General features: G+C 31.6%; 1 protein-coding gene across 30 annotated transcripts in view; it reads right to left on the bottom strand.

Annotated features, from left to right (window-relative positions):
- PPIP5K2 (diphosphoinositol pentakisphosphate kinase 2) overlaps positions 1 to 15,674 on the bottom strand; it is a 92,499-nt gene that overhangs the window by 29,574 nt on the left and 47,251 nt on the right. For 15 of the 30 annotated variants that reach the window (NM_001276277.3, NM_015216.5, XM_047417007.1 and 12 more), the window contains exons 19-24: positions 14,931 to 15,154; positions 9,944 to 10,071; positions 9,254 to 9,368; positions 5,452 to 5,559; positions 5,246 to 5,362; positions 3,038 to 3,205 (exon numbers count right to left, since the gene is read on the bottom strand). In NM_001276277.3, coding sequence (NP_001263206.1) covers positions 3,038 to 3,205; positions 5,246 to 5,362; positions 5,452 to 5,559; positions 9,254 to 9,368; positions 9,944 to 10,071; positions 14,931 to 15,154 — 860 coding nt within the window. Of the gene's footprint in view, positions 1 to 44; positions 803 to 3,037; positions 3,206 to 5,245; positions 5,363 to 5,451; positions 5,560 to 6,315; positions 6,361 to 9,253; positions 9,369 to 9,943; positions 10,072 to 14,930; positions 15,155 to 15,674 lie in introns of those variants that run through there. The other 15 variants (NM_001281471.3, XM_005277534.3, XM_005277536.3 and 12 more) reach the window with 2 other exon arrangements.

The following is a 15,674-nucleotide window of genomic DNA, read 5'->3' as shown; positions in this document are numbered from 1 at the left end:
GAGAAAGGGGGCAAAAAAAAAAAAAAAAAAAAAAAAAAAAAAAAAAAAAGCAGAGCATGCAAAGTTAGATACAACAGAGCCAAATGATCAGAAAGAAAAAAAAATACAGTTTGTTCATATTTGCTTATTAATTTTTTTAAAAAACCATTACACAGCAATTTGGGAGCCAAATATTTCACTATTTGAGAATTTGATAGGAATGACTAATAAATCTAATTGTATGTGATAACAACTATGGAAATATTTTATTACCTTAAAAGACATAAAATACTTATACTGCTTCATAATTGTCCCTTCCCTGTTAAAACTGGAAATATTTTAGTAAGTTTCTTTTTTTAGCAACTTTTAAAATATACAGGTTTTCTGCTTAATTTAAGATATTCAAAAGATTTTGTGCTATTTTGGGTGAATTTTTCAACCCGAGACACTAAAGAATTGTGCAAAGGGTCAAAGGGATTTCAATATACATAACTTAGAAAACTAAATCTGTCTCCCTGATATATTTAAAAAATTCAGAAATCATAAGATGGACTCAAATTGCACCTGTTTATACTTTCAAGCTATCTATTTGCCCCCTCCAGAGATATTTACAGATTCAGTAGGCAAAACATGCAGCAAACATTCTCATTTTACATGTTTGCATGTTCAGGTTTCAGAGAGTGAGGACAGAGTAAAATCTACTTGCACAAAATGAAGAGAACAGTCTTTTTCTCTGTGTGTCTTTTGGAAGTACAAACTTCTTATATCCATGGAGATGATGGACGCTGGAAAAAGTCTTCAAGATTTTACTTGAATAATTTACCTTATGGAAGTAAAAGTTTAGCATGGCATAGAAATAATCTCTTGAAATCAACTAAGTATTTATGAGAAAAAGGTTTATAAATGTGTTTTGCGTTTTAAAGATTAACAAGGGCAGTGATTTTGTTAGAGGTTTTATAAATATAGATGAGTTGCAAAATGAAGACTTACAATACATTTTGCTGTATTCAGTGTTATATAGGCTTTTTGGAGGGCAGAGGAGAGGGTTTAATGGTGAAATTCTGAATAATTTGATGAACTATAGATTGCTTATTCAATAACACATCAAAATCACTGCCCTCACACAAATAGTAGTGTAGGTTATATTAATTAATATAGCTTATTTCCCAAATTTTCTGAAATTAAGGATACCTGAACATAATCCCAGATTTTTCATTTTTTCCATTAAGTTATAACAGAACAAATAATTCCAAGTTCTATAATTGTTAAATACCCTCTTTAATAACCCTTTTCTTTTGTAATTAAAATATCACATTCAAGGGAACCTTAACGACTATATGATTTCCATTATAAAGTTATAAGGATCTACTTTATGGACAGATTTTTGCCTATACAAAATTGTCAAACTGGAGCACATATATATTTGAAATTTGAGAATCATAAAACACATATATTTGTATAATTCGGGGCTGTAGAAATGAGCACAATTCTTTTCATTGTTTTTATTCTCACCCATTAAATGCTAAAAAATGCTATACCTAATTCTTCAGAACTGGCATATTTAAATAATGCTTTATTCTAAAAGTTGATGGTTCTATCTTAATTTCTTCCTTTACACACATATACACATATATATGTATATATGTGTGTGTATTTATTTATTTATTTATTTTTTGAGACAGAATCTCGCTCTGTTGCCCAGGCTGCAGTGCAGTCAGGGGGGTGGTCTCGGCTCACTGCAACCTCCGCCTCCCAGGTTCAAGTGGTTCTCCTGCCTCAGCCTCCCAAGTAGCTGGGATTACAGGCTGGCACTACCAAGCCCAGCTAATTTTTATATTTTTAGTAGAGACGGGGTTTCACCATATTGGCCAGGCTGCTCTCGAACTCCTGACCTCAGGTGATCCACCCACCTCGGCCTCCCAAAGTGCCAGGTTTACAGGCATGAGCCACCACGCCAGGCCCCTCTTCCTTTATACTTTTACTAGAGCATTTAGAAAACAGTTAGAAGCACTGACCTCAATCAGTGCTGGGAGACTCATCCTACAGAAAACAGAGATAACCCCAAATAAAACTTATTTAAAGTATTAAAAATGTATACAGGTGCTAAAGCTTTATTTAACAAGCTTCATTCTAACTGCTAAACTTTCCTTTTAAATGTTACTTTATTAATTATTTAAATGTTTTTCTATTAGAGAGCATAAGAATTATTCTAACCTATTTATAGATCTTAATATAAAGGTAAAATTTTTTATTATATTATCAAACATTCAAATTCCTATATAGACTTTGCAATTAGGCTAACAATTTAGAATTTCATTTCTTTACCTATAGTATCACTTGAATCAGTTATTGCTAAAGCATCTCCAGCAAATGTTCTCTACTTTTTTTTTTTTTTTTTGGGGAGAGTCTTGCTCTGTTGCCCAGGCTGGAGTGCAGTGGCGTGATCTTAGCTCACTGCAAGCTCTGCCTCCTGGATTCACGTCATTCTCCTGCCTCAGCCTCCTGAGTAGCTGGGACTACAGGTGCCCGCCACCATACCTGGCTAATTTTTTTTATGTTTAGTAGAGACGGGGGTTTCACTATGTTAGCCAGGATGGTCTCGATCTCCTGACCTCATGATCCACCCGCCTCGGCCTCCCAAAGTGCTGGGATTACAGGCATGAGCCACCATGCCCGGCTTGCTCTCTAACTAAAATTATTCTTGATCCATTAAATCAGGCTTTTAAAAAAAATTCATTATTGAAGATCAACCTAATGTAAATATTCCTAATGTAACAAGACAAAAAAAAAGCATTCATTTTTCAAGTTCCTAGAAACAGCTTATTTTATATTTGCATCCTTTTTTTATGAAAACTATATGTAAAGCTCAACATTCTAAAGCTAATCTATTTTTGAACTGCCTCTATATTTTTTGTAATTTATTTAAAAATAGATTAAATAACATTTAAAAATTTGTTGGTTTCCCAAGCTCCACAATTAAAGCTGTATTTTCTTTTCTGTTTTATTAAAATATAGTTAGTTTACTGTATGAAAAATGTGTTCTGATACATATACTTACATCATTTGTAGCCGTCTTCCTAGATCTTGGAAGTGGAGACTTCCTGTGTATATGAATTGGCTCTGATACCATTGGTTTAAACAATATCACAGCTCGATCAACTTCATCTCTTTTAGAAGTATGTGGTTCATCATCATTATCAATTTTAAAAGGTCTCCTGCCTTCATTCTGTGAGCAAAGAATATAAAACACTTTTACTATTCAGATTTAAGAAATCTCTTCTGATGAACAGATTCAACTACCACTGGTAGAGGTACTTGAAATACATATACAAGTTTGTTTACTCAGATGAATTAACATTAATTGAACTCTTCTAACAGCTTAGTATTATGCTGTGTACTATGAGGGAAAAGGCAGAGTCTCTGAGTTCAAAAATACATATACTCTATGGAGAAATTAAACAGTAAAATGACAATTAAAAAACCACATAAGACAAAGCGTTTAATTACATTTCATCAAGTGCAAGAATAAATAAACAATAATAATAAATGACAGTAAGAAATAATAGAGATGAGCTTTGTTATATAGGAGTCTCATCAACCTGAGCATGAACTAAACAGCACTTGTATTTATATATTTTAGAATATTTAAATCTATTCCAAACATTTCTAATAAATGTGATAACTGCATTAAAAGTAATAATCATTCAGTGACTCATTAAGCATTTACTAAGTGTATAACATGTGCCATGAATTGTTCTAGGACACAGATGAATAAGACACAGTCCCAGATTGCAAGAATCCTCCAACACAGTATGGGAGACAGGCAAGCTAAAAATTTTTATATCAAATATCCAACTATAAGATAATGCATACGTTGGACCATAGTAATACAGTAAAACACATATTTTAAAGCAATAAGAACGCACAAACTAAAACTAAATGCAACTACATTGATGAGCCTCATAAACATAATATTGGCCAAAAGAAAATAAACTGAGTACATAAAAACCCTCATCAAATTAAGGGTTACAGAGAATAAAAAGGTACTTCTTTAATCAAATAAGGGATATCCAAAACTTGAAGGGCTCATCACAGTTAATAATAAGACACTGAAAGATAAGAATGTCCACTATCACTAAATCTATTCATCATTCATAGATGATGTTATGATCATATACATAAAAAATCCAGATGACTCTAAGGGTAAATTATTAGAATGAATAACAGCATATATCAAGTTATAAGTTTGCTAGCTATAAAATTTTTATACAAAACTGAGTTAAAATTTAATATGACAAAAACAAAAAATGAAATTTAAATAAATCATAAATGAAATTTAATTTATCATAAATAAATCATTTATGACAGCATAAAAAACTATAAAGGAACTAGGAATTAATATGACAAAGATGGTGTAAAACAATTATTTGGTGCAAAAGTAATTGTGGTTTTTGCTATTATTTTTAATGAAAAAATAATGATTTTATCAAAAAATATAAAGTATAGTTAAATAAACTCAGAAATATACCAAGTCCTTAGACTAGAAGACCCAATACTGAAAAAGTATCATTTTTCTCCAAATTGATCTGCAGAGTAGTGGTAATCTCAATCAAAATCTCAAAGAGTCTTTAGAATATTATAAAATGATTATAAAATTTATATGAAAATGCATGAAACATGAAATATTTAACATAATCTTTAAGAACAACAAAGCTGGAGGAGTTCTATACTCAATATCAATATTTATTATAAAGCTATAATAATTAAGACTGTGGTACTGGTAGAGAGAGAGACAAATAGAGCAATCAAGTAAGACTAAAAATTCAGAAACCAACCAATCAAAATACAGACACAATATATGTCTGCAGTATCAGATGTAGTACTATAGGTGGCAGAAAAAGTATGAACTCTTGAATCTATGATACTGGGGTTTAGTTATTCATAGAGCGAAGACAACAAAACTGGACTGCACATCACATGTACTACATCCAAAAAAGTCAATTTTGGTGAATTAAAGGTTTAAGGTTATCCATTCTAAACACGGCCTTAAAATTCAAACAATCTAAACAAAAGATAAAATTCCTAGGTATTGCAATATGCATAAAAGTACAGTCTATACAAATCACACTTTAAAAAATTTAAACCATTTTCCTGCTTAGAAGTTAAAATAAGAATTATTTATAGTACATTATAAAAATCTCTTATAGAAACCTCATGAAAATCTAGAACTGTAGTAACTAAGCACTGAGAGTTCCACCTTCATTACCTCTCTGGAAGCTGGTCTATATCCATAGCCAGATGGCAAATTTTTGTCTTCTTCACAACCTTTGGCTCCCGGACTAAAGTGTAATTCAACATGAAAGCGTTCTTCTGAGGAAAGATCCTAAGAAATATGACAGAACATTTTCAAAATGAGAAACTTTAAGCTCTTTATTTATGTCTGGTAAAACACAAATCAAGAGCTCTGTTTACCTTATTAGGATCCTCATAAAGCATGATAACAATCTGAGTCATGTAGTTGAGCTCATTGACAACGTTTAAATAATCCATAGCTCGTTTCCACTGTTCATCCTTTGATTCCTGAACAAAAGATACATGTGGTAATCATTTTCTCAAACTGTGTTACTTGAAAGTCACTTTATTGTCACTATGGTAGCTTGTTTAATCCTAGTGATACCACATAAAGTGAATACTTATCATATGCAAAATTTTAAAAAATAATTCCACTACATTTAAAAGTCTTAGTATGTTATTTAAGCTTGTTTTGATAAAATATTTTTAAAATCTCTACAAGTTTGAGTATCCCTAACTTGAAAATCCAAAATCCAAAACCCTCCAAAATTCAAAACTTTTTGAGCACTAACATGACACTCGAAGGAAATACTCATTGGAGAATTTTGGGTTTTCAGATTAGGGATGCTAAACCAGTAAGTATAATGCAAGTATTCCAAAATACAAAAACAATTCCAAATTCCAAAAAACTTCTGGTCTCAAGCACTTCAGATAAGAGATATTCAACCTATATTAGAAGTTCTAGTGGTAACCTTTTTTAACTGCTTATACAAAATGAAAAATAAATAATTTCTTGAAATATGACAAACACTAATGAATTCTGAGGGTAAGAGACCGTTTTTAACTTTGTCAGGTTCCAAAGTACCTAGTATAGTATCATATTTCATAACCACAGAATACTATCCTATAACAGGAATGCCATTTTTTCCCACCATCATATAGTTCATGTATGCAATATAGGCCTATCAACAAGTATCCCTATTACACTGAAGTGATATTCAAAAATCAGAAGAAGGAGGCATATGTAAATTCTATTGATCTTACCATCTCCTTCACCATTCCTCCATCTTCATTCTGAGAATCATTGGTCTTTAAACATGTAATCATAGAGCATCAGAACTGAAAAGGATCTTAGAGAACATGTACTACAAGCATTCAAAGTAGAAAATTCTATCTGAAAAGGCAAAACTACTCAAAGTAAAGTCTATAGTCAACAGTTAACAGGATCTACTTAAATTATACGTACATCACAGATAAATTTCCTTTGTTGTATACTATGTAATTACATTACAAATATATAAAAGGACAACATTTCCTTTTTGTATACACTAAGAGTATACAATATTATGGACTTTAGTACAGAATGCACCTTGTTTTAAAAGCAAATTATAAGACCACACATTGACTGTATGCTTTTTAAAATTCAGCGTGTATTTTATTTCTGTTTTAGACATTATACATTCCGTGTGTGTGTGTGCGCACATGCATGTGTGCAAGTTTAGGAGGTAGTATGTGAAAAGATGTATTTTTTTCAAAATTGATAAGGGAAAACATAAATTAGCATTACTGAGTTTCACTAAATGTAAGTTAGCACAAATGATGAGTTTAAATACTGAAAATTTTCATTAGGTGAACAGATAATTGATCTTGTGATTTTGTGATACTCCAGTATTAAGAACACCATTTAATATCTAACTCAGTGTTGCAGTTATAGATTTTGCTAGGTCTTCTCTAATAAATAGATAAAATTAAGTAATATTTAGTAGTAACTTCCAGAACGTAATTAATATGTAAGAAGACACAAAAATATCTTTTTAAATTAAGGCCCCATTACACATATTCCTGAAATCTTATTTATAATCTTAGTTCCTTAACAAACTTTACAAATAATTCTACAGAAAGATTTTACCCCATCCATTCTGAATAATTAAAAATTACAAAGGGGAATATACTGAGTAAGATTTTAATTATATTACTTACAGATTCTTACAAGGATAATAAGAGTTGGGATAATGAAAACAAAACATTTTGGCAGACTTTAATTTTCATCTTAGTAAATACATGTAATTATTTTTCCCCCTGGAAGCACTGATTTTTAAAATAATGAAGTTGTTCAGTTTTTGTTTTAGAAATGCAGCCTGAATTCAATATATGCCCAAAAAACTCTAGATCCACAGCTACCACCCTAGTCCAAATGACATCTTTTTGGACCACTGTAATAATTTCCTAACTGGTTTCCTCATACCCACTTTCACCTATCTGCTGTCCACACAATAACCAAAGCCACCCATTTCCCTGCTTAAAACCTTTAAATGGCTTCCCAATCCAATTAGAATACAAGGCACTGGCTCTTCAACCATATCTGCTGTCATTTTATCCAATACTTACTACTATTCTCCAACTACAGGCTTTCTATCAGTTCCTATATTACTCATGATCTTTATACCCTCTATGTATGTCAAAAAGGACCATGTAAGAGATGTATCGCTCCTCTTCACAAACAATTCCATCAATACTACTGGATATACAAGCTTTTTTGCCTTGCTAATTAAGGGTCATTTTTTTTCCCACTAATCCACATACTTATGTAAGGATGTCACTTTTCTATTCTTTAGTGGGACAAAGAAGAAACAAAAAACCAGAAGAAAGAACATATGGATTTGGAATTTTAATTGGAACAGAACTTTGAAACACCCTTAGGATCACTTTGATAATAATTACTCTCAAGGACCAGTAATAAGATTGATTAGGAAACAGACCTATACCAAATCATCACTATATATGTCACTGCCCTTCTTTTAAAAGTACATTAAGAAAACAAAATTGAGTTTTCTTTTATAGATCACTTTCTACACAGACGTGCACAGATGCGTATACCAATATACGCACAGAAAAATAAAAGAACATTCTTATCTTTTGGCTAGTTTAGAGATGACTGATTTAGATGAGATTCTGGACTTCAAGTAGTATTACTCTATTACAGCATGGCACTGAGTGGAGGGGGTGGCACTGAGGGAGATGTGAATTGAGTTTTGTATGTGGGAAGAATACAAATTACTGTGGCAAATAGGTATCACTGTGGCAGATTTTGTCTTTTCCAAAGATGGCTGACATACACATTCAATGCTACATACTCTTCTTACAATAGGACAGGGACACTCAGCCCATCTGGTGCTGTGGGTTGTTTCCTCTCCTTCTGAACCTGGATGAACCTCTGTGATTGCCTCAACCAAGAGAGCGCAGCAGAAGTGATGCTACATGATTTTAGAAGTTAGGTCATAAAAATGCCATGCACTTGCACCTTGCTCTCATAGGAAGCTCACTCCTGGAACTCAGGTGCAATATTTTGAGGAAGCAGGCCACATGAAGAGGCCAGATGTAGGTGTTCTGCTTGATAACCGCAGCTGAGGTCCCAGCTGACAGCCAACATGAAGCACCAAACATGAGAGAAAACCCTTGAGATTATTTGAGACCCAGCCACTGTCTGACTACAACCTCATGAGACTCTAAGAGAAACTTCATAATTGATCCTAGTCAACAATCTAAACTGTATGAGATAAAAATGAAATGACTGTGGTTGTTTTAAGCCACTAAGTCTTGGTATGTCATTACGTAATAGTAGATAATAGTAGATAGTACATAATAGTAGATCAGTGGTACAATGTCTAACCAAACACCAAGTTCCATCAATTCTGACCCCTAAATGACTCAAATTCATCAGGCTACTCTTTACTGCCACCAGTCTATAAAATCACCTAAAATACTTTATATTATTGTTTGCTTAAATGTATCTTCTCTGAAGAGAACATCTTTATCCCTAAAATCTAGCAAAATGCTTGGTATATAGTAGTCCCTTGAAAGACGACATTAAGTAGTAAAACTTAAGGATGAATTACTAAAATTTCACAGTAAAAATAGCAGTTAGTGATTTAATTACAAAATTAAATATATTTGTTAGACTGAAATAACTTATTCTACTTACATTGCATAAGGCACCATAGCGAAGAATAGACAGCAAAGAATGTACATGACTTTCACTGGTAAAATATAATCTAGTACGAACATGACGTTCAGGAGACAGAACACCTCTAGAATACCTAAAATTAGAAGCAGACAGTGTTCAAACATAACCATATAATCAAAAACTCACTAAATATTGAAATTATTTTCTAAAATTAAATGTAATTTCACTAGAAGTAAAAGACCACAAAAATCTATTATTCTTCCAACCACAATAGAGAATTTATCTTAGTATATATTCTTCTAACATGACACAAACTATAACTAACTAGGACCTCTGAGAGTAGTCAAAGAATAGACTTAATATTAGTCAAGTACACTGTAAATAGGTTATTTTATCTCCTTTAGTAGCAATGACAGAGGTTATAGACCTAAAGATGCTCACAGACATTAATGCTGCTAAATGGGGTACACATTGATGGTCCATGTGAACGATGACCTATATTCCCTTTTCCCCACTCACCTTAGTTTTCTCTAAAGTGGAGCCAAAAATAACTTTGGTTGGAACTTAATAGAAATACCTAGGTAATACTATTTTCACAGTATGCCAATGACACACTTCTGACTTCATAGGACCATCAAAGTATAATTTAAATTTGAAGTATGCAAAAATAGATGCCTAGAGATTTAAATAACCAGTACAGTTTCTTACACAGGATGAAGTTTATTTACAGTGTCATCATCTTGTGTCCTCTGAAGGTCTGAGCGAATTTTTCTAACCAGAGGAGTACAGTAGCCTTTGGCAATCTCCAGTTTTTCAGCTTTAGTTATACCATATTCCTGAGCAAAAAATACATGACATTAGAAAAAGGATATAATGACAAAGTACTCTAAAAAAATACACTCCTAAATTAGTCTAGTGAGAGACAAATATTTTATCAAGCCTTTTTTGAACGTTGGATAACTCCGAGTTTGCATTTTTTGCAACTGCAAATGTATGATTTTCAAACTATTAAGTATAATTGGAAGGATTTTGTGGTGGAACTGAACAAAAGCCAGTAATTTCTGAAGGCGGAGAATGAATGGGTGAATGTAATTTTTATGACTAGTATTCACTAAATCAGTGGTTTTAAATGTAAAAACAACCCTAAAAGAAAGGTGGATTAAGGCCACAAACACTAAAGCACAATATGTAATAAATATATGAAAAAAATTAAACCTTGAGATTTCTGTTTTTCCAAATGTCAAAGATTTAAAAGACTAACACATTCTTCAAAAGGCTTTGGCCAATATTTTTAAAGTTTTAACTGGAAGTGAGCAAAGATTCCATGAAATTATCAAATTTAATGACATAATCATTATGAGTTAATTGGATTTGTAAGGAATTAGCACAATGTGAAGTGTCCAGAAAACATGGCAATTTTAAGAGTAATTGCAATGAAAATTATAGTTCAAAGCAGTAGAAGAGGAGAAAGGAAGAAGGCAGAAAAGTGGGGGTAGAGTGGGAAAGAGGGAGAAAAGGGAAGAGGAAAGAAACACATATACCTTCTCTCTCCAAGTTCATTCTAGGATATTTCAACTTAAAGGCTATTTCCTGCTACTAGATACCTCCAGAAAGATTCACATGGAATAACATCAGTACAGACAATAGATCTCAAAACTGCCTAATAAAGAAAATGCTGACTGATTACAGATGAAAGACCTAGGAAAACAGGACTTCCTGTGGTCATTTACCTTAAACTAAAGCTAAGGTGGTTCAATAATCTTGCCAATGTAGGTGACTATATAGTGAATATGCAACTGTGTATTTATGTGTAAACAAAAGAAAAATGTTGGAATTAAAAAATCATCAGGGAAATAATTTTTTTTTAAATTTGTTATTAGCAAGATGTGAGGAAACAGGGATTTTCATACACTGCTGGTCTGGGTAAAAACTGATTAAAGATTTCTGGAGCTACAGAAATGATCTTGAATGAATGGAAAGACATGTGTAAAGAGAGTGAAACAAATTTTAAAAGTCTAGATTTCCAAAGACAAGTTGGTTAAATAAATTATTCTTACATTCACACCACTCAGACATTGGGAATAATAATGTATATATAGCCTTATTGGCATGGAAAGAAGTTCTTTATGCTAAATGAAGGAAAAAATTAGGTTGTAAAATAGTATGCTTTTTCTGATTCAGTTTTCATAAAGAATGTATTTGCTATATATACGCATTTATGGAAGCAATTATATGTAAATAAATTTAAGGAAAGAGGCCTTTAAGAATATTCCAAAACATTGATATGTTTTTCTTTTGTTGGTAATGTTATAGTAATTTTTTTGCTCTATCTGTATTTTCTAGTTTTATCACAAAGATATATTACTTTTATAATCAAGAAATTTCTCTCTTCAAAACAGTGACACATTTTGCTCATCTGCCTCTATCAACTAGGACCAAACAATTTTTTAGATATGCAAGTCCTCATATGTAGTTTCAATATTTGTGCCACAAATAGAACTGATTAAAATACCAGCTAAGGCGACTTGAAAGCTTTCTATGGTGATTTCAATGAGAATGTCATTGAACTGTCTTTGGGAAATGCTACTATAAAGAACTGTCTGCATTTCATAATCTACAGATAACCAAAGAAAACATCTTTAAACTTCAATTAATATGTGTCATCTCAATTAATATAATTTTAATATCAAATTTAGTCTTTAAATGTTTTTATTTACCACTATACCATCATGGCTATAAAGCATCATTTTTAAACCAGGGCCCCAATTTTCTGAGGATTAAGCCTGGTTAAAAAGTGAAAATTTGATTCTATTGTAGCATAAACACCTATCAGAACTAGTTTAACTGTTAAAATAACTAAAATAGACCATATGCATCATTTAAGCCTAGAAATGATTGGAATTACATAATTCACATAGCACAGACATAAAAATTAATCAATCAATGTAAGAGTAGAAACTGATTTTTTAAGGCATAGTATCATTTTGAAGTACACCAGAACATATGTATATACACTTCTCTTTCACAGTGGTACCCTGTTAATCTACATTAAATTATTCTAAACAAGTTAAAACTTTGTATTATTTGGCTGAGTCAAGTCTTGAAGCTGGAAATATTATTTGCTTGAGAACTATGTATGCAAAATTTTATTTTTTTCCATTACAAACCACATTTTCATTATAAATTACTGCAAATATGTTTATAATTGTTAGTTATATTTTTGGTGATTGAAAATACCTGCCTTCTGTCCACAGTTTTTGTATTTATGAGGCCTAAAGTAACAAAGCAAGATAATATTTATTGAACTGATTCAACACTCTGAAAAAAAAAAATCCAAAGTTTCTCTTACAATAAAGATTGTCATATGAAAAAGTTAGGGAGATAAACCCAAAGTTGTCCTCTCCTCAATTTATAAAATAATCTCAGGACACCAGGGAAGCATATAAAAAGACCTTTTGTTTTAAAACTATGAATTTACCAAAAATAGAACTGATTTATGTAAACTTGGGCATAATTTTATCTGAAGAGTCAAACGATTTAAAAAATAACTTATCCGAGAAAAATAATTTTAGAGTTGTCTTCAAATAAATTCTCAGACCGTCATGAAAATCTAACCTAATTGCAGCAAAGAGAATCACCATAACATACTGAGAACAGCTGAGCTTGAAGAATTACTTTGATAGATACAAATGGTGACTCAACTCCTTCGTAACATACTAATCTTTAGTGCTTCTTCTGGTATTTAAAAAAATTTATTATGAATTTATTTAAGTTACAAGGACATGGTGAGAAATGTCTTCAACTATATAAACAATACACCTGAAATACATACACCATGTAAGGAGGAGAAATGACCATCTACAATACTGTTAACACTTGAGTTTTCTTTTCGGCTCAACTCTCAGGGACTAATTTTTCATTCCCAGTTGTAAAATATTTAGTATATATAATGGAAACAGTAGAGGGGTGAGATTAAATAAGCAATGCAATGGCACAGACATGGTTATGCTAAAGATTAGACAAAGCATTGTGTATTTAGCCTCTGAGTAGGTGATACATTTAGATATACTGACAGCCCACCTTGAAAAGTGCTTATAGCTGCCATAAATATCTTAAAGTCTTGTATTCACAGCTAATTGTTAAAAAGCATACTTACAAAACCAAAACATTTTTATTATGCAAAATAAAACTTGTCTTTTACAGAATAAAACTTAACCTTTTTCATTTGCTAAATGAAAGAAATTGTCAGGGAATGAGTCCTGTTTCCTAAGTAAATGTTTCCTAAAGGCCTAAAGACGTATTCGTAAAGTCTGAGATATTTTCATACTCTTCTAAAAATAATTTTTAAAATCACAGATTCATACAATATACCTAAAATTGTCTATATTATATATCTGATCAAATATATAGTTCTCTTTCATGTTGAAGAAACAAGCTAATTGTTAACACGTATACAAATACCTATAGGTAAGTTGTACAATTGTATGAATTCTCAGTTTTTCAAAATCTATAGGTTTTCCTGTACTGTCTATGAATATTAGGAAAGGGACAGTTATTTTAACCATTCTTATACATGTGTATTTATAAGTTAGGCTTTTTGAACTTTTTTTTCATAATCTTTATCTTTTTCATGTATTTAATATTTTCCTGCTTTCAAACTTTATGTAGTCCACGGTTGGAATACCTGATCTACTCCAACCTCCTCTTTACAATATCCAAATAATCTTGTACTGAGTTGAAAAAAGGTCCAAAAGTGACATCTGGAACTTTGTTCTTCTAACATAGTCCTGATCTCAATATGTTTTGCCACTTACCCCTTTATTATCAATCCAATTCTCTGCTTAATTGCATTTTAGTTAATTGAATTCTTGTTACACCTTTATTTTTATTCTCCTATAATGAAAAGACCCATGTCCCCCAAAAGAACAACTACATATATCTTGACCTCTAAACATTATTTTCAAAATACTTTTGCATAAAGTAAAAAGACTTGCAAAAAATTTTATATAAGACCGTAATTCTTTATGTGTTACTCTCCACATATTTCCATATAGAGATGGCAGATGCAAAACAGGTGTTCAATAAATGCTTAATTGATTTATTCCATACTGTTTTCCATTCTTTAGTTTGTTCACATATTATTATTCTCTAAGAGTATCAATTCTTAAATTAAAAAAAAACTTTACTACCTTCTTATGGCAGTGAAATACTCTGTATGCTACTATGATGATACATGTCATTATAAATTTGCCCAAACCCATATGTACAACACCAAGAGTGAACCCTAATGCACTATGGACTCTGGGTGATGTGTCAATGTAGGTTCATCAGTTATAACAAATGCACCATTCTTGTGGGGGACAATCATAATGCGGGGGAGGACGTGCTATGTATGGAGGCAGGGGCATATGGGAAATCTTTGTACCTTCTGTTTGATTTTGCTGTGAACATAAAACTGCTCTAATAAATATAGTCTACTAAAAAAAGTCACTGTAGTCAAACTATTAGAAAATCAAATAATGTGATCAATACAACCATAAAAACCTTAAAATATAAATTCATAATTACCTAATTTCCTGTTTAAAGTTACTGGTTTTCCAAGGACATGAAAACCAACTACCTTTTTATCCACCAACAGACATTTTAAAAGTATTTTTTCAATATTATAAGAAATTGATTCTTAAGAATGACTTACCTGAGGGATAACAATATCTGCTAATGCCTTCGAAAGCCTATATAATTCCATTGTGTTTTCTAATTTCAAGGAACCATTATGCTGGACATCATATTTTATACAGTCATATATGTCAGGGATTTTACTAATATCATATCTTCCATTCTTTGTTTTAAAGTCTTTCTCTAACTTGGACCATCTACGTAGCATAAGCTCCAATGTTTCACTATGGTAAAGCTGAATATCTAAAACAACATAACATTTTTAGTTTATGCAACTTAAAAATCTGATTTAGAATATATATTAATATGTTAATAATTAGAAACTTTTTAAAGTGTCAAAAATACAACTGTATGAAGTTAGAGAGTTACTTTAGGCATACGCTACTAGCAACCATATATCTTTTAGACTTAAAGGGTTAGGAACTAGGCTTAGACTTTTTCCATATATTATAGACTTTAATAACAATAAGAAGAAAAAGAGCAACAATTTTAACAAAGCTCTTTTAAGCTCATATATTTTCAATTTTCAATACTGTTATTCTTATTAGACTCACATAACTAAGTGAATAGGCAGACTAGCAGAGGAACATTAGACATTAAAAATAGTCCAAATGATCCATTTTCTGCCAGAAAAAAACCCAAGATGCCAAAGTTGTCTGAGTTACTAACCAAGTAAGCTTTGGGGCCAGAGCCTAGATCACTTTCCTGTTGCTTGCTCCTTCTTATTACCCTGTCTACTCACTGCTTAACTATATAGCAATGC

The sequence above is a fragment of the Homo sapiens genome, chromosome 5 (genome assembly GCF_000001405.40).
Source record: "Homo sapiens chromosome 5, GRCh38.p14 Primary Assembly".
NCBI lineage: Eukaryota > Metazoa > Chordata > Mammalia > Primates > Hominidae > Homo > Homo sapiens.
The sequence above is the reverse complement of the archived record's forward strand: the minus strand, read 5'-3'. Positions and strand labels throughout refer to the sequence as shown.